We start from the raw sequence: 24,370 nt of genomic DNA on the forward strand, positions 1-24,370 counted from the left end.
AATGAGGAAAGGTACCTTGATGGTTAGCATGTGAACTCTGGATCTAGACTGCCTATATTCAAATTAAACCTTGTCAGGTTCTAACCTGAGCTGGGGTCTGAGAGGAATTGGGGGATGGGTGGCAGGTAGCCGAAAGAACTCTTGAGGGATTGTAGAAAGTTGGGACATGGGCCGGGCGCAGTTGCTCACGCCTGTAATCCCAGCACTTTGGGAGGCCGAGACGGGTGGATCATGAGGTCAGGAGATTGAGACCATCCTGGCTAACACGGTGAAACCCCGTCTCTACTAAAAATACAAAAATTAGCCGGGCATGGTGGTGCGCGCCTGTAGTCCCAGCTACGCGGGAGGCTGAGGCAGGAGAATGGCGTGAACCCGGGAGGCGGAGCTTGCAGTGAGTCGAGATCGCACCACTGCACTCCAGCCTGGGCGACAGAGCAAAACTCCGTCTCAAAAAAAAAAAAAAAAAAAGAAAGTTGGGACATGGCTTTATTCTCTCTCTCCTACAGAGTCAGCAGTGCAGTTATATTATTCACAGGCAATAGTAGCTCAAAGCCAGGTAAGAGCTCAAACAGGTTACATTAAATGGTTACATAATGCACAGGGTTGTGCACCTGTGCTCCAAACCTGCTGTGTCATATTGTACCAGATGTCTACCTCAGCCCACTCCTGACTGAAGCACAGCCATTTTCTTACACTCCACCCCCTATGCTGAGGGAGTTCTCGTAGTGGGGAAACATGCCCGCAGGGCAGAACCCTGGACCCAGAGGCCACAGCAGCAATACAGGAAGCAACACCCATGACTAATATTCCCGCTATGCTGCCCATTATTATTAGGATCCAGCATGGGCCAGAGCCCAGAGACCCACCATATCTGTAGGGATTCATGAGTAAGGCTCTCAACTGCTTTGATTTCCTTGAAAAGCTGCTGTTATGTTTTGTTGATTGTCAGGGATGAAGGTACAACACTGTGGTCCCAAAAGAGCAAAGGTGCCACCTTGGGCAGCAGTTAATATGTCTAGGGCCATACGGGTCTGCAGTACCACCTTCCTGGTTTGATCAACCTCATCTGTTAATAGAACGAAGGCAACTCAGGTGTTATTCAAGGCTTGAGCATTGTGCTCTGCAAGGGCTGTAACTTACATTTCTACAGTTATGACACCTGCTCCAGGGATGGTTAATGCTAAGGGGTAGAGCCACCAGGGGGCTTGCTGGATTTGCAAAAACCAGGAACATTGTCCCTTCCAGTTATGTGAGTGTCTAGGCAATGTGGGGATAACAGTGGCAGGCACATAAGGGCACTAGGTAATGCATGGGGTTGTGCTCCTGGGCTCCAAACCTGCTGTGTCATACTGTACTGGATGTCTACCTTGGCCTACTCCTGACTGAAGAACAGCCATTTTCCTTATAGACCTCTTTCACAGGGAAATTATGAGTATTAAATAAGTTAATTCATGTAAAATGCTTAAAATTATGACTGATATGAAATAAAGATTTAATACTGTTAGTAGTGGCAGAGATCTAAGTTATCCCAAGTTACCAGTAGGAAATCTGTATACGTCTGCAAGCAACTTTAGCCCTTGTCTACTCAAAAGAAAGAATTTGACTGAGGGACATGAAGCAGAAAACAAGACTGAGGCAAGTTTCAGAGCATGAGTGGAAGTTTATTTAAAAAGGCCTTAGAACAGGAAAGAAAGGAAGGTGCAGTTGGAAGAGACCCAAGCAGGCACATGAAGGTTTAAGAGAGAAGGTCAAATGTCCCGTTCAACCATGATTCTTGGCCTTTTATAGGTTCACCTCTTTCCCGAGATTCTTCCCGTATGTGCAGAGCCCTCTCTACAGTTGGGAAGTGAGCATGCGCAGTGTGTTTAGGAAGAGTACATATGCCCACCTGAAGCTTTCTTCCTTTTTTCCAGTTGTGGGTACGTGGAAGATAATATTTTGCCGTTTTTATCTCTTAATGTGCATGCCCAGTAAGTTTCTTCTTTCTGGGGTCTGCCTTTAATAACACTTTAATGTTAATAGGTGTGGACCATCAGAAGATTGTCTCTCCCCGGTTGCTGAATTATCATTTTCTGAGAGGCAGTGTGACAATTTTTAAAACATCACTTGACATTTCTAGTGGGTGGAGGGAGAGCCCTCTCCTGCCCTACTCATGCCTATCTATCTACCTATAACAATAAAATGTATTGAGGGCCTACCATAGTTTAGGGTCTGATAGACACTAGGTGTATAGCTATAAAGATACTATATGCTTAAGAACTGAGTTTAGAAGGAGAGGTACACATTGAAACAAATATAGCTGTCTCTTGGTATCCATGGGCAATTGGTTTCAGCACCCCTCATTGATACCAAAATCTGTGATGTTCAAGTGCTTTATATAAAATGGCACAGTACTTGCATATAACCTATATACATCTTTCCATATACTTAAATCATCTTTAATTACTTATAATGCCCAATATAATGTAAATACTATGTAAATAGTTGTTATACTGTATTGTTTAGGGAACAGTGACAAGAAAAAGTCTACGTGTTCAATACAGACTCAAACATTAATTTTTTCCCCAAATATTTTCATTTTACTGTGGGTTGAATCCATGTTTGTGGAACCCACAGATAAGGAGGGCTGACTGTAAGTGAAATAGAACATAATATGCATTGTAATAATATTACACAGGTTATAGAGGTGGCATAAATCTGGAGGTTCTGCAAAGTCTTCCCAGAGGTGAAGTATTCAGGCTGATCTGGAACTCTGGCTGGATAATGGAGAAGAGCAATCTGGGCACTGTTACCACTGGGCAGGTGAGTTCTGTAATGCTGTTCCTGGAGTCATTTCTCCAGGCCTACCCAGGCACTAGTTCTCAAGGTGTTTCAATAATTTGGAAAACCCAATTTATTAGATTAGTTTTTGCTTAAATTATCTAGAGTAGTTTTATATCTTTGCAATGAAACCCTCTATTATCTTTCTTTCCCACAAGACTTACAAAAATTAGAACCCTTGCTTGACAACTGTTTGCTTCTAATCTTAGAAAACTGTCCACTCCTAATATACATGTAAGATAGATACCATGCTTATATTTCTTAAATGCCACCTATTTTTCTGGGTCATATTTTTAAAAATGTACTTTAAATATTCACTACTATCTATTTGTACATTTCAAGTAATTCAACCTTACGAACTCCAACTTGCTTAAATGCAAAATATACACATTAATATCTATGATATATAGTTGCTGTAAATAAACAAAATACTTTTTATAAAAATGTTTTGAAAACTGTAATATACTACGTAAAGTTAGACATTAAAAGTTACTCTACGATCAAATCATAGGGATTTGTTTTTCAATAAATGAAGCCCATAAGTGAGTGTTCTGAGGTCAGATAATTAGCATTTAGAAACAGATGCAAATGCAAGTGTATTAACCTGTGGTGGGGCTAATAAATGCCTAGTGACCTAAATAGGGATTAAATTTACGTCTCTACTATAGTTTCATTTTTCTCTGTATGCTAATTTGAGAATGCATATTAAGAAAAGCATCATGGTGCAGTGTTTTTTTTAATGATGTGAACTTAGGTTAAATGCCATCTTAACTCTGCCAAGTGAAGTGATGAGGAAATTATACAGCCATTTAAAGTCATTAAAATATTTTGCATTTGTTTTTTGGTCACTTTTAACATTTTATTTTGAATTGCTAAAGTAATTGCCTTGAATTAGGATGACTTTTTTGCTTTTGTTTCTGATATGTCATTTGGCTATTTTGTGATGTGAATTTTAAAAACATTTTTATGGCCTGAGTGATATCTTAAACCTATTTGGGTAGTTCCTTTAAGATCCTAATTGTTTTTGGCATTTTGTGATGGAGTAATCAGGACTGTATTTAAGTCCCTTGCTATTGAATATTGCAAATAATTTTAGGGCTGTAAGTACCTTAAAGAACTTTCTTAGTAAATCTAATAAGCAGTAAATACAACTAATAATTGAGTTCAGTCTTAGATTCAGAAACATCAGTGAGATCAATATCTTTTTATCTCATTTCCAAAATTTTTATTTTTTCTCTTCCTTTCTCTAATCTAGGTAAAGACATATGCATCATTATTATCTGTGTTCACTGTAATAGAAAATTACATGCACCAAGAATCAACTTTTGATGAAACTACTATTGTTTCAGCTCCCTGTCAAAACTCTCGTGTTTAATCCCAAACTAACTCAAAATACTTAACTGGTTAAATGATGAGTTCTATTGAGGAAAAGAGTCAAACTACATAAAATATTTGAAGAGATTTGTTTTAAGCCAAATATGAAAGACCATGGCCTGTGACACAGCCTTCAGGAGACCCTCAGAACATGTACCCAAGGTAGTCAGAGCACAGTTTGGTTTTATACATTTTAGGGAGACATGAGACATCAATCAAGTACATTTAAGATATACCTTGGTTCTGTCAAAAAAGGTGAAACAATTTGAAGTATTGCAGGGTGGGAGTTGTGCCGCAAATTTAAGGAGACAACTTCAGGCTAAACCTGATTTAACGTGACAAAGACCAGATATTTCCTTTTAATAGAAACAATTTCCTTAAAACATCAATAAAACAGAGATAAACAATCACCATTTTATCTGCTAGTAAATGTTAGCTGCACAAAAATACACTTCCAAATAGCTCTAAAAGTAGCTTAAGGTAACAATTTATTTAGTTTTTATTGCTGCTGAGCAGTTCTATTCTAGGCTGGTCTTGGCTGGTCTCAGGCTTACTCATGCATCTGTGATCAGCTTGTGTGTTGTGTGTTGGCTAGGGCTGGCTGGTCATGGATGGCCTCAGTCCCGTGTCTGGTTATTGCCTGAGATGAAAGAGAAGCAATTGGGCCACACATGTCTCCACGTGAGTTCTAAATGCAGAAATATGGCATACACCATTCTTCTTCTAAGCATTAGAAACAAACCAAGTTCTTGGCAAGCCTCTGCTTGTATTGTGCTTATTAATGTTACATTGGGTGAAGCAAGTCACATGAATAATCAAGATTCAAAGGCTGGATAAACGGACTCTCTCCTTTGATGGGAAGGGAAGAATTGATAGTCATGTTGCAATCTATCTTAACATTATTCAAAACTCTTTTTGAAAAATATAATTGCTCTTCAAATTTCTATCAAGTGGCATGCCCAAACTCCATGATCAAAGTATCAGTAATCAAGTAGATGCTGTTAGTGGTAGGAAGTGTTTTCCCATCAGGTTAAGTTAGGAGACTTGTAGAGAGGCTGCTGTTAAAATAAGCACATTAACACACACATCCTGAGTCATAAAACTTCTTTGTAGAATTTTGGTCATAAGTTGAGTTTTTGAAAGTTAGTGTAAGCTAGCCCACCCAACCCACTGAAAAAGAAATCATGAATTTGCCTCTTGAATTGCATTTTCTTCTAGGAGAGAGGTATGCCTAAATCACATGTTATAGTGGAATATAGAGCTCTTTCTCTAATATATAATATAATTAAATTATAGAGCTCTTTCTCGTATATATTTACTCAGTCTTTCTGTAACAATTCTTGAGATATTACATTATAGGTTTAAGTTGAAAATTAATACCATTCCAAATTGTTCTAGTGCATGTTTGAACAAAGTGGTGATAAAAGCTTCAACAGTTGGTCGTTTTCTCTGCTTGCTTTCTTCCAACTGCCTCTGTTACTACCACAAAGGCAAGTTTTTTATACATATGTTATCTGTGATCTGGTACTAGTCACAGTTGTAAAATGAATCATTTTTCCCTCTCAAACTTGGCAATATCTTTTTAAAAAATAAATAAAATGACTTTTTGGGCTGGGCATGGTGGCTTATGCCTGTAATCCCAGCACACCGGGAGGCCGAGGTAGGTGGATTGCCTGAGGTCAAGAGTTCGTGACCAGCCTGGCTAACATGGTGAAATCCCATTTCTACTAAAAATACAAAAAATAGCTGGGCGCGGTGGTGCATGCCTGTAGTCCCAGCTACTCGGGAGGCTGAGGCAGGAGAATCACTTGAACCTAAGAGGCGGAGGTTGAAGTGAGCCGAGATCACACCACTGCCCTCCACTCCAGCCTGGGTTGCAGAACAAGACTCTGTCTCCAAAAAGAAAAAAAAAAAAAAAAAAAGGACTTTTTGCTGTAAGATGAAGTTGTTGCCCATGTCAATATTTCTCTGTAGCTAAAAACTTTCCTAGTTGCCCAGAATTAAAAAAATCCCATTTCTTGGGATGATAATCATCTGTTCACCATTCATCTATTAATTAATTAATCAATAATAAGCTGTGATTATTTCCTCTAAGCTAAGTGCAGTGAAGGATAGCAAAATGAAATGGTATATTCACTGGACTCAAGCTGCTTATAATCCTGTTGTACATAAAAGGCATAAATATAAAAGGTAAGTGAAAAACCAAAAATAGACAATATATAGCAGGCGACTGCGCTTTACCCATCACCTTCTTTGTTTTACTCTGTCTCTCTCCAGAATGACATGGCGGCCATGCCCTCTTCATGATCTCTTGTTGTGATCTATCACTGGGACAGAAGGAAGGTAATCAATACTTTCTTTATAAATAACATATCATTGAATTCTCACAACACCTTTGTGAGGTAGATGTGTATTACAACATTTACCTCACAAGTAAGGAAAAATAAACCTGGAGTAATTAAGTAAACTTCTGTAGAATACATGAATTTAGATACAGATCTTTTAGGATCTCAAGCCTACAACTTTTACAGATTATCAAGTCTTCCTAAAATTTTCCATCAAAATACTCCAGAGGACAATACCTTACTTTTTTTTTGAGAGATTATGGAAGTATAGCCCAAAGCAGTCAACCATGAGCCCTTTTTTATTCTAAATTTACATCTGAGTTTTGTTGTCAGCATTACCGCTTCCCCTGTTCACAGGGAATTTCTGCACTTGTTAGTGAGAAATGTCCGTTCAGAAAGAAAACTAACTTAGCCAGAGACCCTTCCAATAGTGTATTGCATACTTAAAAATTGCTAAAAGAGTAGATTTTATATCTACTCACCACAAATAAATGATAAGAATGTGAGGCAATTCATATGTTAATTAGCTCACTATAGCTATTAAAGTATACATATTTCAAAATATCATGTACACCATTACGATATACCAACATTCCTTGACTTACGATGGCTTGACCTATATTTTTCCACTTTACGATGATGTGAAAGCAATAAACATTAAGTAGAAACCATATTTTGATTTTTGAATAAAAATCCTTTCTAATAACTTTATTAGAAAGTAGGCTATGTATTAGATGATTTTGCCTAACTGTAGACTAATGTAAGTGTCCCACGAATGTTTAACCTAGGCTAGGTTAAGCTATGATGTTTGGTAAGCTAGGTTTACTAAGTGCATGTTTGACTTACATTATTTTCAACTTACAGTAGGTTTCTTGGGATGTATCCCCATTATAAATCAGGAAGCATATGTGTATACAGTTTTTATTTGTCGATTAAAAACACAAATAATTTTTTAAAAAACACATAAAACACGAATGAAAAACCCCAAAAACCTTGTACTTCAAGTCAGGAAGGTCAGACTCTGATTCTGTTTCCATCATAAATACCTGTATGACAGTGAAAACAACAAGAAAAACAACAGCAAAAAAGAAATACTATGCATGACCACAATAGCACAAAAGCAGGAGTGGGGTAAATGTCCATTTGTGTGTGTGTGCGTGTGTATTTTCACTCGAGTCCGTGTGAAGAGACCAGCAAACAGGCTTTGTGTGAGCAACATGGCTGTCTATTTCACCTGGGTGCAGGCGGGCTGAGTCCAAAAAGAGAGTCAGCGAAGGGACATGGGGTGGGGCCATTTTATAGGATTTGGGAAGGTAATGGAAAATTACAGTCAAAGGGGGTTGTTCTCTGGTGGGCAGGGGCGGGGGTCACAAGGTGCTCAGTCGGGGAGCTTCTGAGCCAGGAGAAGGAAATTCACAGGGTTAATCACTCAGCTAAGGTGGGGCAGGAACAAATCACAATGGTGGAATGTCATCTGTTAAGGCAGGGCAGGGCCTTTTTACTTCTTTTGTGATTCTTCAGTTACTTCAGGCCATCTGGGCATATACATGCAAGTCACAGGGGATGCGATGGCTTGGCTTGGGCTCAGAGGCCCGACATTCCTGCCTTCTTTTATTAATAAGAAAAATAAAACAAAATAGTGTTGAAGTGTTGGGGCGGCGAAAATTTTTGCAGGTGGTATGGAGAGAGAATGGGCGATGTTTCTCAGGGGTGCTTTGAGTGGGATTAGGGGCGGTGTGGGAACCTAGAGTGGGAGAGATTAAGCTGAAGAAAGATCTTGCGGTAAGGGGTGATACTGTGGGGTTGTTAGAAGAAACATTTGTCGTATAGAATGATTGGTGATGGCCTGGATACGGTTTTGTATGAATTGAAAAACTAAATGGAATAAGAGAAGGAGAAAAACAGGTATAAAAGGTCTAAGAATTGGGAGGACCTAGGACATCTGATTAGAGAGTGCCCAAGGAGGTTCAGCCTAGCCTTGCCAGCAAAGATTATTTATTTACTTCAAGAGTTTAGAGTGGCAGTTTGGGGATAGCACCAGGAGATATCAGCTGTGATGGCTTGGAGAAACAGTGTAAACCGGCAGTGTAAACAAGAGCAGGGCATGTATGAGTAGTTGAGAATGGTGAATAGGAGTATGACTAGACAGAAGATAGTAGGGATGACAAGTTTTTTTGGGGCACAGTCTAAGTTGGTCTGGTGTTGAATGAGACTGGGGCCTAATAAAAAGGAGCATCTATACAGGAGCTTAAATGGGCTGTATCCTGTAACATTCTGAGGACAGGCCTGAATTCTGAGAAGCGAAAGTGGTAAAAGTATTGTCCAGTCCTTTTTAAGTTGGTGGCTGAGCTTGGTGAGGTGTGTTTTTAAAAGACCTTTAGTCCATTCTACTTTTCTTGAAGACGGAGGACCGTAAAGGATGTAAAGGTTTCACTGAATACTAAGGGCCTGAAAAACTGCTTGGCTGATTTGACTAATAAAGGCTGGTCTGTTATCAGACTGTATAGAGGTGGGAAGGCTAAACTGAGGAATTATGTCTGACAGAAGGGAAGAAATGACTGCGGTGGCCTTCTCAGACCCTGTAGGAAAGGCCTTTACTTATTCAGTGAAAGTGTCTATTCAGCCTAAGAGGTATTTTAGTTTCCTGGCTCCGGAATGTTGAGTAAAGCTAATTTGCCAGTCCTGGGTGGGGGCAAATCCTCAAGCTTGATGTGTAGGGAAGGGAGGGGGCCTGAATAATCCCTGAGGAGTAGTAGAATAGCAGATGGAACACTGAGAAGTTATTTCCTTGAGGATAGATTTCCAGGATGGAAAGGAAATGAGAGGTTCTGAGAGGCGGGCTAGTGGCTTGTACTACAGCATAGCCTGCCTTTGCTTGTGTGTGGCGATTAGGCCTGGTGGAACTGCCATCAATAAATCAAGCGTGATCAGGGTGGGGAACAGGAAAGAAGGAAATATGGGGAAATGGTGAATATCAGGTGGATCAGAGAGATACAGTCATGGGGGTCAGGTGTGGTATCAGGAATAATGTGAGAGGCCTTATTGAAGTCCGGGCCAGGAACAATGGTAATTGTAGGACTTAAAGAGTGAGTACAGCTGAAGGAGCCAGGGAGCAGAAAGTATATGCATCAGGTATGAGGAAGAAAATAGATTTTGGGAGTTATGAGAAATGTAGAGAGTGAGTTGAGCATAGTTTGTGATTTTTAGGGCCTCTAACGGTATTAAAGCAGCGGCAGCCGCTGCACGCAGACATGAGGGCTAGGCTAAAACAGTAAGGTCAAGTTGTTTGGACAGAAAGGCTACAGGGTGCGGTCCTGGCTCTTGTGTAAGAATTCTGACTGCACCAACTATGCCTAGGAAGGAAGGGAGTTGTTGTTTTGTAGAAGGTGCTGGGGTTTGAGAGATCAGTCTGACAAGAATGGCAGGGAGAGCATGTGTGTTTTTATGAGAATTATGCCAAGATAGGTAACAGATGAGGAAGAAATTTGGGCTTGATTGAAATAATGGGGGCTGTCTGTGAAGGTTTGCGGCAGTACAGCCTAGGTAATTTGCTGAGCTTGATGGGTGTCAGGGTCAGTCCAAGTGAAAGCGAAGAGAGGCTGGGATTAAGGGTGCAAAGGAATAGTAAAGAAAGCATGTTTGAGATCTAGAACAGAATAATGGGTTGTAGAGGCAGGGATTGAGGATAGGAGAGTATATGGTTTTGGCACCACGGGGTGGATAGGCAAAACAATTTGGTTGATAAGGCATAGATCCTGAACTAAGTTGTAAGGCTTGTCTGGTTTTAGGACAGGTAAAATGGGTGAATTGTAAGGAGAGTTTATAGGCTTTAAAAGGCTGTGCTGTAGCAGGCCAGTGATAACAGGCTTTAATCTTTTTAAAGCGTGCTGTGGGATGGGATATTGGCGTTGAGTGGGGTAAGGGTGATTAGGTTTTAATGAGATGGTAAGGGGTGCATGATCGGTCACCAAGGAGGGAGTAGAGGTATCTTATACTTGTGGGTTAAGTTGGGGAGATACAAGAGGAGGATGCAAAGGAGGCTTTGGATTGGGAAGAAGGGCGGCAATGAGATATAGCTGTAGTCCAGGAATAGTCAGGGAAGCAGATAATTTAGTTAAAGTGTCTCAGCCTAATAAGGGAACTGGGCAGGTGGGGATAACTAAAAAGGAGTGCTTAAAAGAGTATTGTCTAAGTTGGCACCAGAGTTGGGGAGTTTTAAGAGGTTTAGAAGCCTGGCCGTCAATACCCACAACAGTTATGGAGGCAACGGAAATAGGCCCTTAAAAAGAAGGTAATGTGGAGTGGGTAGCCTCCATATTGATTAAGAAGGGGACGGGCTTACCTTCCACTGTGAGAGTTACCTGAAGCTCGGCGTCCATGATGGTCTAGGGGGCTTCCGAGGCAATCGGGCAGTGTCAGTCTTCAGCCGCTAAGCCGAGAAGATCTGGGAAGGAGTCAGTCAGAGAGCCTTGGGCCAGAGTTCCAGGGGCTCTGGGAGTGGCTGCCAGGTGAGTTGAACAGTCCGATTTGCAGTGGGGTCCCACACAGATGGGACGTGGCTTAGGAGGAATCCTGGGCTGCCGGCAGTCCTTGGCCTGGTGGTCAGATTTCTGGCACTTGTAGCAAGCTCCTGGGGGAGGAGGTTCTGGAGGAATGCCTGACTGCTGCAGTTCAGGGGTTTGGAAGTTCTTGTGTGCTGGAGATGTGGCTGGGCTTTGTCTCACAGTGGAGGCAAGGAATTGCAACTTTTTTTTATTATTGTACACCTTGAAGGTGAGGTTAATTAAGTCCTGTTGTGGGGTTTGAGGACCAGATTCCAATTTTTGGGGTTTTATTTAATGTTAGGAGCAGATTGGGTAATAAAATGTATATTGAGAATAAGATGGCCTTTTGACCTTTTAGGGTCTAGGGCTGTGAAGCGTCTCAGGGTTGCTGCCAAACGAGCCATGAACTGGGCTGGGTTTTTATATTTGATGAAAAAGAGCCTAAACACTTCTGATTTGGCATAAAGAAAAAGGAGCATTAACCTTGACTATGCCTTTGGCTCCAGCCACTTTTTTAAGAGTAAATTGCTGGGCAGGTGGGGGAGGGCTAGTCACAGAATGAAACTGTAAGCAGGACCAGGTGTGAGGAGGGGAGGTGATAAAAAGATTGCAGGGTGGAGGAGCGGAGGCTGAGGAAGAATTGGGACGTAGCTTGGCCTGGCAAGGAGGGGAGAGGTCAGATGGGTCTGTAGAAAAGGAAGATTAGAAAGACTCAGCGATGCTTGGGGTTGGGACTGAGGGGACAGGCAGGAGGGAAAGAAGGAAGATTTGGGAGAAGTTGCACTGGGCACAGAGACTAGGAAGGGACTATTGTGTAAAAGAATGCCTGGATGTCAGGCACCTCAGACCATTTGCCCATTTTACGAAAAGAATTATTTAGATCTTGTAGGATGGAAAAATTGGAAGTGCCATTTTCTGGCTATTTGGAACTACTGTCAAGTTTGTATTGGGGTCAAGTGGCATTGCAGAAGAAAATAAGATGCTTAGATTTTAGGTCAGGTGAGAGTTGAAGAGGTTTTAAATTCTTAAGAATATAGGCTAAAGGAGAAGAAGGAGGAATGGTAGGTGGAAGGTTGCCCATAGTGAAGGAGGCAAACCCAGAGAAAAGAGAGCATAGAGACACGGAGGGAAGGGGTTCGGGGGTTCTTATCCTCCAGAAAAGTGGGAAGGGGGGTTGGGGCACGGAAATAAGGGATTGGGGCACAGAGATAAGAGGTTGGGGTGTGGAAATAAGGGATTGGGGCACAGAGATAAGAGGTCAGGGTGTGGAAATAAGGGATTGGGGGTTCTTGCCTCCTAGAAAAGCAGGACTTGTCACTAAGGGTGAAGGAGAAGGGGTTGAGGGGTACTTGCCCCTCCCCCAGAAAAGCAGAGAAGGGGTAGAGACACAGAGAGAAGGGGTTGGGGTACTTGCCCCTTCCCCAGAAAAGCAGGACTTGCCACTAAGGGTGAAGGACCAAGGCAGGCGTCCCTGCGTGGTCTGACACCTTTGAAACATGGGTGAATAATCAGAGAGGCGTCCCTGCAGTGATTTAACACCAAGGGAAGGCTGCCTTCCCAGTCCGTGACTGGCGCCGGAGTTTTGGGTCCACGGATAAAACGTGTCTCCTTTGTCTCTACCAGAAAATGAAAGGAATTGAAATTAAGAGAAGGGAGAGATTGAAGTGTGGCACCAAGATTGAAAGGAGAAAGAGGTTGAGGGACAGTGAGGGAAGCTGGAGAAAAGAGTAAAAAGAGGCCGCTTACCGGATTTGAAATTGGTGAGATGTTTCTTGGGCTGGTTGGTCTGAGGACCTGAGGTTGTAGGTGGATCTTTCTCACAGAGCAAAGTGTAGGAGGACGGGGGATTGATCTCCCAAGGGAGGTCCCCCGATCCTAGTCACGGCACCAAATTTCACTCGAGTCAGTGTGAAGAGACCAGCAAACAGGCTTTGTGTGAGCAACATGGCTGTCTATTTCACCTGGGTGCAGGCGGGCTGAGTCCGAAAAGAGAGTCAGCGAAGGGAGATAGGGGTGGGGCCGTTTTATAGGATTTGGGAAGGTAATGGAAAATTACAGTCAAAGGGGGTTGTTCTCTGGTGGGCAGGGGCGGGGGTCACAAGGTGCTCAGTCGGGGAGCTTCTGAGCCAGGAGAAGGAAATTCACAGGGTTAATCACTCAGCTAAGGTGGGGCAGGAACAAATCACAATGGTGGAATGTCATCAGTTAAGGCGGGGCAGGGCGTTTTCACTTCTTTTGTGATTCTTCAGTTACTTCAGGCCATCTGGGCATATACATGCAAGTCACAGGGGATGCGATGGCTTGGCTTGGGTTCAGAGGCCTGACATGTATGTGTGTGTGTGTATGTGTGCTTTAAAATATAAGGCTTTATTAAGGGTTTAAACTGTCAATTTGAGACAGGATTGAAATTTTACCATGAAGGTCTTAGGATGGCTTGTGCAAGCCCACAGAGCAAATAAAAACCACATACATCATAAAAATCATCTGAATGGGACGCCAGAAAAGTCACAGTTCAGAGTGTTAGTGATTTGTAACTCCTGGGTGCAGAGTAGTGTACCTAAGGGCCCTAATCCCTGTCCTTTGCAGGTGTTCAAGTCAGGGAGTTCAGGTTCCTTGCAATCAGATTTTTGCCTCAGTGGTTGTATCTGCTTCAGCAGTCATCTGTGATTGTCAAGTTGAAATTTTGCTCTTCCTCAGCCATCAGAAGTGCCTGGTTTCATCACCAAATTCAGCTTTGGGGTAAATGAAATTAAGATAAGATCTCTTTGTTCTCTAGAAATACTACATTAATAAGTCAAGGATGAATATTGTAATTTTTAGGCTAACCATTAAAAGAACTGATGATAACCATATATATTACAAGCTAATGGACAATTAACTTAGTGGGTGAAATGTAATTGCAAGGGTCCTGTACAGTATGTTCAATGATGATTATAACCCTCTCTTCTGGAATGGGAGCAAAACAATAATTCACTATCATTATAGTTGACTCTTGAACAATGTGGAGGTTGGGGCACCAACCCCTTGCACAGCTAAAAATTGATATATGACTTTTGACTCCCTAAAAACATAATCGCTAATAGCCTACTGTTGACCAGAGCTTTATTGGTAACATAAACAAGCAATTAACACGTATTTTGTATATTGTACATACTGTAGATCTGTTGAGCATTTTGCTAGAATTCTTAGTAAAAAATAGCAAAAAAAAAATGTTTATTCTAAAAGGTTTTTTAGATGGAGCTTTTAGGATTTTCTGTATGTAAGATTATGTCATCTGCAAACAGGGCAATTTAAATTCTTCCTTTCCAATTTGGTCACCTTTTGTTTCTTTTTCTTGTCTAATTGCTCTAGGCAGGTCCTTCAGCATTGTGCTGAATAGAAATGGTGAGAGTGGGAACCCTTGTTTTGTTCTTGATCTTAGAGGAAAAGCTTTCAGCTTTTCTTCATTGAGTATGATATTAGCCCAGGGCTTGTCAAAAATGGCATTTATTATTTTGTGGCCCATTCCCTCTGTACCTAATTTATTGAGAGTTTTTTTTAATCATAAAATAATGTTGAAGTTTGTCAAATAATTTTTTTCTGCATTTATTGAGATGATCATATGTTTTTTGTCTTTCATTCTGTCAATTGGTTTACCACATTTATTTGTGATGCTGAACCATCCTTCCATACCACTTAATCATGGTGTATGATCATTTAAGTATGCTGCTGAATTTGCTTTGATAATATTTTGTTGAGAGTCTTTCACATTTATGTTCATTAGGGATTTTGGCCTGTAATTTCTTTTATTGCGGCATCTTAATCTGGTTTTGATATTCAGGATACAAAATTAATATAAAAAATCAGTTGCATAGCTATACACTAACAAAGAACTATTTGAAAAAGAAGTTAAGAAAATGATCTTATTTACAAACACAAGAAAAAGAATAAAATACTTAAAAGTAAATTTGGTGAAGGAGCTGAAAGGTCTGTACACTAAAAGCTATAAGATATTGATAGAAGAAATTGAAGAAGACACAAATAAATGGAAATATATTTAATCTTCATGAATAAGAATAGTTAATATTATTAAAATGTCCATATTACCCAAGGTGATCTACAAATCAGTGCAATTCTCATCAATATTCCAATGGCATTTTTCATAGAAATAGAAATACAATCCTTAAATCCACATGGAACCACAAAAGATTCCAAATAGCCAAAGCAATCTTGTAAAAGAAGAGTAAAGCTGGAGGCATTACACTCCCAAATTTCAAACTATATTACTAAGCTATAGTAATCAAAACAGTATCGTTCTGGCTTAAAAGCAGATGCATAAACTAATGGAACAGAAAGGGCAGCTCAGAAATAACCCCATGCATATATGGTCTACTAATCTTTAACAAGGGTGCCAAAAGTCCACAACAAAGAAAGGAAACTCTCTTAAATAAAGGACACAGAAAAATCTGAATTATCAACATGCAAAATAATAAAATTGAACCTTTATCTTATAGCATATATAAAAATCAAAATAGATAAAAGATCTAAATATAAGACCTGAAACCAAAAAACTTCTAGAATATGGGAAAAAAGCCTTCTGGCATTGGTCTTATTAATGATTCTTTTAATATAATACCCAAAATAAAGTTATCAAAAGCAAAAGTAAACTAGTGAGACTACATCAAAATAACAAGCTTCTGCATGACAAAGAAAACAATAAAATAAAAAGGCAACTTACAGAATGGGAGAAAATATTTGCAAACCATGTATCTTATAAGGGATTAATCTCCAAAATGTATAAGGAACTCACACAACTCAAGAAAACAACCTTATAAAAAATCAGCATAGGATAAATGAACAGACATTTTTCCAAAGTATACAAATGGCCAACAGGTATACAAAAAGATGCTCAACATAATTAATCATCAAAAAAATTAAAATGAGAAATACAATTAGATATCATTTTACACCTGTTGGATGGCTAATATAAAAATGTCAGGAGATAACAAGTGTTGGCAAAGGTGTGGAGAAAAGGGAAGCTTCATATATTTGAGTGGGAGTGCAAATTAGTACAGCTATTATGGAAAGCAGTATGGAGGTTCCTTAAAAAATTAAAAATAGAACTACTGTATGATTTAGAAATCCCGCTTCTGTGTTTATATTTAAAATAAATTAAATCAGTATCTGGAAGATATATCTACACCCTCATGTTTATTACAGCCCTATCTACAATAGTTAATATATGGAAACAACCATAGTGTTAATCATTGAATGTATGGATAAAGAAAATGTGGTATATACCATGGGATATTATTCAGCCATAAAAAGGAAGAAAATTCTGCTATTTGTGACAATATAGATGAACCTGCAAGACACTGTGTTAAGTGAAATTAGCCAGGCACAGAAAGGCAAATTTTGAATGATTTCACTTATACTTGGAATCTGTGAAAGTCTGACTTGTAGAAAGAGAGAGTGGCATGGTAGTTGTCTGGGCCTGGCAAGTGGGGAAAAAGGGGAGAAGTTTATTAAAGGTACAAGCTTTTCATTATAAGATAATTAAGTTTTAGGGATCTCTTGTACAACATGAGTACTGATGGATGCATTAATTTGATTGGGACAATCAATGCATAATGTATATGTGTATGAAATCATCATGTTGTACAACTTCAATATACACAATCTTTATTTGCCAATTAGATATTTTAAGATAAATAAATAAGACATGGAGAAAGAAAAAAAGCAAGAGAAAAATGAAATGTTAAAGAATTGGAAAGGAAGAAATGAAATTGTCACAATTTGCAGATGACTGATGCTGTTTGTAGAATACCCTAAAGAATCTATGGACATATTTTCAGAACATATGAGTGAAGAAGCAAGTCATCCAGATTCAAGATGAACATACACACATCAATTGTGTTTCTATATACCAGAAGAGATAGGATAAAATTAAAAATTCATATAAAATCAATATAGCATCTGAAATGGAGTATTATGAATAATTTAATTACTTCTACACAGAAAACTTATCAGTCATTATTGGGGAGAATAGAAAACCTAAGTAAATGGACATATATATAGTGGTTGTGAATTAAAAACTCAATATTGTTTTTAATGTCAACTTTGCTCAAATTTATTCTTACATTCAATGCAATCTCATTCAAAGTTGATCAGATTTTCTTGTTGAGAATGCAAAGCTAATTCAAAACTTTGTAGAACTCAGAATAGCCAAGACAGTCTTTACGAGGTAAAAGAAAAGAGTTGGAAGAGTTTCACTAACACATTAGTACTTTACTATACAGTTACAGTAATCAAGACATTGTGATAATGAAACACAAACAAACAGACCAATGTAATAAAATAGCATCCAGAAAAACACCTGCACATCTTCATACTGCCACCTGATTTAAAACAAAATGCCACTTCAATACAGTGGGAGAAAAGCTGGTCTTTTAAATAAATTATGTTCGAGCAATTAAATATGTGCAAAAAATGAATTTTGATACCTATCTCACATTATACACAGAGATTATTTTGTACAGAATGTAGATCTACATGTCAAAAGTAAAACAATGACTATTCTAAAAGAAATCCAAGAAGAATATCTTCATGGGTTTTGGGTAGGCAATTGTTTATTTGGAGGACACTGTACTAACCATAAAGGAAAAGATTGGTAAATTGTAGTACATTAAAATTGAGAACTATTGTTCATCAAAAGATATCACTCAAATGTCAGAAAATTCAGGTGACAGAGTGGAAGACTATACTTAAATGTATATAACTGATAAAGCATTCATACTTAAAAAATATATATATAAATATTCTACATATCAATTAGAAGAAAAAAGTAATCCAATTTAAAAAAAATGAGCAAAAATGTTAAGTGCTCACAAAAGAATAGCTCCAAATGGCCAATAAATATTTAAAAGGTGCTCAACTTTGATCATCAAATGCCATAGGTGTAGTAAGTGTTTTAAAAAGTGAGTAACCTTGTACAATAAGTGTTTTAAAAGGTGATCCACCTTAAGCGGCAATACTTGTTTTAAAAGGTGAGCAACTTTAAAAGGTGCTTAGCTTTGGTCATCAGTAAAATACAAATTTAAACAACAATGTAATTTTTTACACACCTGATAAGATGGCTAACATAGAAAATTACAGCAATACAAAGGTAATTGAAGATGTGGAGCCATTGGAATTTCATATGGTGTTAGTGGAAGTGTAAATTATTGCAACCACTTTTGAAAACTGGCAATACCTACTAAAGCTGAACATGCATATTTCCTACAACTCTATGACCTATGCATCTAAAACCTAGTATAAGACTATTTCATAGCATCACTGTTGGTAATAGTCCACATTAAAAACACCTCAATTCCCATCAACCATAGATAAAAGTATGGCATACACATACAATGGAGTACTATATAGCATTAAACTAACATAAAAATTTCAAATCTCACACAGAAAAGGAAGTTCAAAGCAGTTACTTTTAAATGTTAAAGTCTTGAGTCCAATGTTGAATTTTATTTTTGGTGAAAAGTTGGATTTGACATACTCTTATAACCTAAAATCATCAAGCACTTTCTATTGTCATATATGTTATACATTGGGGATAGTGTAAAGGGGAATAATTTTGGAGAAAAATGCTCAATACCTATTTCTGATAAATGTTTTGTTTAAGTGTTATACACAAGTCCATGGAGAAAATCATGTTTCATAATAAAATTATCTTCTTCTTGTTAACAAAAGTTTATTAGATACATGTTACTGAATGTAAATGGGCTAAATGCCACAATTAAAAGGCACAGAGTAGCAAGCTGGATAAAAAACCAATACCCAATTGTATGCTGTCTTCCAAAGACCCATCTCACATGCAATGACACCTATAGGCTTAAAATAAAGAGATGAAGGAAAATCTCCAAACAAATGGAGAACAGAAAAAAACAGGGGTCACAATCCTAATTTCAGAAAAAACAGGCTTTAAGCCAACGGAGATCAAAAAGGATACAAAAGGGCATTACGTAATGGTAAAGGGTTCAATTCAACTGGAAGATCTAACTATCCTAAATATATGTGCACCCAACATAGGAACATCCAGATTCATAAAGCAATTTCTTAGAGACCTTCAAAGAGACTTAGACTCCCACACAATACTAGTGGGAGACTTCAACACCCCACTGACTAGACAGATCATCAAGGCAGAAAATTAAGAAAGACATTCAGGACCTTAACTCAGCACTGGATCAAATGGACCTGATAGACACCTATAAAACTCTCCACTCCAAAACAACAGAATATACATTCTTCATTCATCAATATACATTCATCACCACATGGCACATACTCTAAAACTGACCACACAACCAGACATAGAACAATCCTCAGCAAATAAAAAAGAACTAATATACCAACCATTCTTTTGGACCACAGTGCAATAATATTAGAAATCAAGACTAAGAAAATTGCTCAAAACGATACAATTACATGGAAATTAAAAACCTGCTCCTGAATGACTTTTGGATAAATAATGAAATTAAGGCAGAAATTAAGAAGTTCCCTGAAACTAATGAGAACAAAGATAAAACATACCAGAATCTCTGGGACACAGCTAAGACAGTGGTAAGAGGGAAATTTGTAGCACTAAATGCCCACACCTGAAAGTTAGAAAGATCTCAATTTAACAACCTAACATCACAAATAAAAGAACTAGAGAACCAACAGCAAACCAATCCCAAAGTTAGCAGGAGAAAAGAAATAACCAAAATCAGAGCTGAACTGAAGGAGATTAAGATGTGAAAAACCATTCAAAAGATCAATAAATTCAGGAGTTGGTGTTTGAATAAGATAATAAAATAGGCCACTAGCTAGACTAATAAAAAAGAAAAGAGTTAAAATCCAAATAAACACAATTAGAAATGACAAAGGGTATATTATCACTGACCACACAGAAATATAACTGTCAGAGACTACTATTTTCCAAAAATGTAAAATGTATAGCATTTGTATAACAGCTCAAAAGTGTAAGGCAAGTTAAATTCTGTTTCAGCTGTTTAAAATTGCATATTAAGTTGCTTTACTGTGATTCCAAGCACCTTGACATGAGAAATGGTACTATGACTTTCGTATATTTCTACACACTTGTAGTGAGCCTTAAGCCTAGTTTGAGAGATATGCTTTAAAATAGCCAATAAGATTACAACTTAGTCAAATAAGTTGTGAAGACTTTATCTCTTACATGCTTCTTATTTATAGATTTTTTGTGCTATTATTTAACAAATAGATTATGAACTAGATGCTGAAAAGGAAGTTATGCAATTTCTGTTCAATCTGTTTTTTAAAAAAACTGTCTAGCAATTAAATGATCTGAGTGAATTGGAGTTTATGATTCTAATTTTACTTTTCTGTGTTGTCTCCTGATTTTTTTGAGAAGCCAACTGAACGGTTTGATAGTAGTTTATATTATTGTGTAGGTAGTATATTCTAGGAGATGTTTAGAAATTTAAAACTCATTATATCTAGTTTAATTCCTAATATCTCCACGAAATAGCTAATGGGATTTGAATAATGGCCTGTATAAATCATACATTTATGCTTTAATTATTGCATTACTTTAATTCATTCATTTGTTCTTTTAGCCATTATATATTATTTTCCCATTATGTGTCTAGCATGGCTGTAGATACTGAGATTGCAGTGGTGAATAAGCCAATCAAGGCATTGACTCTCCCCAGTTTCCAGCCTGGTAGAGGGCAAAAATATCAAGTAAATGAGTAAGTAAGTAAACAGATAACAGATGGCAATAAATGTATGAAGAAGATTAAAAGGTGATATGATATAGATAAGGACATATAGCTAAGAGGAGCTCTTGTTTTAACTGAGATCTGAATGATAGTAATTAACTAGCCATAACAAGATAAGAAGAAGCCCCTTTTCAGGCAGAAAACACAGCTAGTGTAAAAAGCCAAAGACGAAAATCAGTTTATCCTGTTCCAGGGAAACGAGAAGTTGAATGTGCTTGAAATGAGTGGGTAATGTGAAGCATAAGGCAAGATAAGTTAAGGAGGCAGGCAGAATTAAATGATTTAAGACTTTATAAGCTAGGGAAAGAATTCATATCTTAAGCGTAATGGAAAACTACTAGAGTTTTTAAAAATGTCTTTTATGTAAACAGTGAATTGTTCACGGTAAAAGTAAAGGCTGAGAGTTCAGCTAGGGTGTCCCTGTAGCGATTCTGATGAGAGATAACATTAGGTAAACATAGAAGGTAATGCAGATGGAGAGAAGCAGATAGTTTGGGATTATGTTTTTGAGGCAGAGTTGAAAAGGCTTTCAGACTGATTAGATGTGGGTAAGAGAGAAAAATAAGAAAGAGAATTTATCTGCTTAAACAGCTTATTGAATGATAGCACCATGTATTAAGATGCAGATCAGAGGAAAAATTAGTTTTGGGGTGTTATGACCACTTCCTATTCATCCCATTGGTGAAGGAGGAATCTCGTGCCCAAAATTATAGGAGATGTTCAAGCACACAACCCCTGACACTGGACAGATGAGATCATCCAGCCACAACACACTGCATGCTGTGAAGGGCCACACAGGTGTTGCACTCAGGAGCTGAGTGAACTGGGCTGTGGGAGGCAGGCTTTGTTAGTAATGGGAGGGTGAGATGTCCCCTGGTTCCTGCAGAAGGATTGGATTGCTTTGCTTGAGTAATTGTATGGGTTGGCCGGGAGATTAAACCTGTTAGGTTGAGGACAGGGTAGAATGCAACAGCTGACGGAAGAACTAGCTGGGCAGAGAACATTTCCTACTGAGTAGGGGCATATCTGGTGACAGCAAGAGAACTCACAGATAGGCCTTTCGGGCCCTGTAAAGTTAAAAATGTCAAGGCAGCACTTGAAAGTTTAGGTCTTACCCTACGTCGGGGAAATTAAGGTCCCTTTGGCCATGTTACATTTGAGATGACTGTAAAGACTGCATCGAAGTGGAGACATCATGTTGTATATGTAAGTCTGAAACTGTGAGACATCAGAATTGGAGGTAAAGATTTAGGCGATAAGGACATTTAACATCATGGGACTGAGTAGAAGAATGTGTAGATAGAGAAGAGAAAAGGTTGAGCTTTAGATGCGTTTCAACATTGAGAGTTGGAGCAGAGGAAAGGGAGCATCAAGGAGACTTGGAAGAGTAGCTATTGAGGTAGGAAGAAAACCAGGAAGGCGAAGTGTTATGAGCTGAGAGAAGCATTCCAAGAAGGAAGTGATTATTTCTGACAAATGCTGCTGAGTTGTCATAGAAGGTAAGTAATCATCAGACCTGCAACGTGATAACCTTGACAAGAGAGTCTCTGTAGAGTTGTGGGAAATTGGATGTTCTTGGTAGGTACTTATTTATAGTTAGTTGAAACTAGTGGTGTCTGCTGGTCTGTAGCCTCTAGTTACTGTTTCCTGTTAATCGCACTATGTAAAAAATAATCTATGGAATCAAAGGCAAATTGATAAGCTCAGAATTCCATAGAAAATTGGCCTCATCTCCCTTTCACAAGTCAATGTAAGATTTTGTGAGCTGTTTTCTATCCAATAGTGCAATTGCTTATGGTCATAGGCAGGAGTATAACAAGCACCCCATGGCCCTGCCTTTCTGTCATGGCACACTCCATGATTGGTTATACTGGGGCCCTGCTAACCTACTTTATTTTCACAAACAAGACAAGCTCCCATCTCAGAGCACTGGCACATACTTTTCTCTCTGTCTGGAAACATAATCTCTTTTCTTCTGGATGATCTCAACTTTAGGATCACCTTAGGTTTCTTCTTAAATGTCCCTTTCTTAGGAAAGTCTTCCTGGTCTCATAAATTGGCTTATGTTTCCCTGCAATGCACTCTTATCCTGATTTTTCCCTTTACAACTCTTGAACGCATCTGCATTCCATGTTCATATAATTATCTGAGTACTATCTCCTTTACTCGACTATAAATTCTATGAAGTCATCTTCTCAATATATTTTATTCTTCACGGTATTTCTGGTGCTTGGCACAAGCCCTGGTGTAAAGGGAGTGAACAATAAATTATAAAAATAAAATAATAATAAATACCAGAGGGTTTTTCTTTGAGGGAGGTGGCAGACAGTTTATTAATTCTTTTTTTTCTTCTTTTTTATTTTATTTTTGTTACAGATGAAAACATTTACTTCAGACTGTTTACTACTGTTCGATTCTATTTTTCCTTTGATTTTCTCTTCTCAGTCATAAGTGGAAATGGAAGGGATTCATTCAAAGGTAGGGATAAGGACAAAATCCATTTCAATTAAAAAATTACCTTATGTATAGGATAAGATTATTGAAATGGAAACTATTCTGTTTATTAGTATTGCTTAACTTATTTGCTTCTGTGCTCAACTTCACTGTTTAAAAAACCTCATCGAACATCAAACTGTAATATCTACATAAAAATAGTTTTATTTCAGGAAAGCTACACTAGTTTATATATAGTTTCATAGTAAAATTTTATCTACTTTTGTTGTTATTTTTGCACTGCATATACTTTAAAATATTAATGACTAACAAACATGGGAAGATATTTTGTTAATGGAATAATGCTTCAGAGTTCTTTTTGTCATTCCGTGGTCAGTAATTACTTACCAGCAGTAGACAATGTTCTGAGACAGGGGATTGTCTACACTCCATACATAATCTTCATTTCAACTTTGCCCCTCACTCTGAACTTGGTGTCACTCAGTTCTTGATCTTTATATCTCCCCTCCCTGTACCTCAAGCCCTTTATCTCTCCACTCATACTTGACCCTTATTGTTTCCCACATTTCCCTCTCTGAACTGAAGTGGTAAGTCTCAGACATGAACTGAGCACATTGCTTTAAAAATTGTGGTAATAAAACAAAGCTGAATATTTCATCAAAAGCCTTCCTGAAATAAAAATGACTGCATTAGTATTGCTGGGCCAAAATGTTATGTACTAGCTTGTGTATATAGTAGAAATTAAAAAAAAATTTTTTTCATTGCTAATAATGATTCAGGAAACACACTGCACACCAAGTTTGATCTGACGTGTTACAGTTAGGAAAGGCTTTGATCATTTGTAATCAGATTAGTGTCCAGTCAAATGACTTTGATGGCTGGCTGAGAGAATCTGAGAAGAATGCGAGGAAGACATGAGAATGTCTTTATTTGTGTGAATCTAAATTGATATTATAAAAGGTAACTGGCTCTGCCTTGCAGAAGAAATTTTTCAGTTGGCATTGTCAAATCTCAAGATAGTTTTATTGGTGCCTGATGATATACCATTAGCTTTCTT

The 24,370-nt window shown here is 38.3% G+C and overlaps 1 long non-coding RNA gene across 1 annotated transcript in view; it reads left to right on the forward strand.

Annotated features, from left to right (window-relative positions):
• The first annotated feature begins 2,679 nt into the window (after window positions 1-2,679).
• Window positions 2,680-24,370, forward strand: part of TACR3-AS1 (TACR3 antisense RNA 1) — a 75,707-nt gene continuing 54,016 nt past the window's right edge. The window contains exons 1-2 of the long non-coding RNA NR_186501.1: window positions 2,680-2,802; window positions 6,472-6,537. This is a non-coding gene — a long non-coding RNA (TACR3 antisense RNA 1). The remainder of the gene's footprint in view (window positions 2,803-6,471; window positions 6,538-24,370) is intronic.

This window comes from Homo sapiens, chromosome 4 (genome assembly GCF_000001405.40).
Source record: "Homo sapiens chromosome 4, GRCh38.p14 Primary Assembly".
In the NCBI taxonomy this organism is placed as follows: domain Eukaryota; kingdom Metazoa; phylum Chordata; class Mammalia; order Primates; family Hominidae; genus Homo; species Homo sapiens.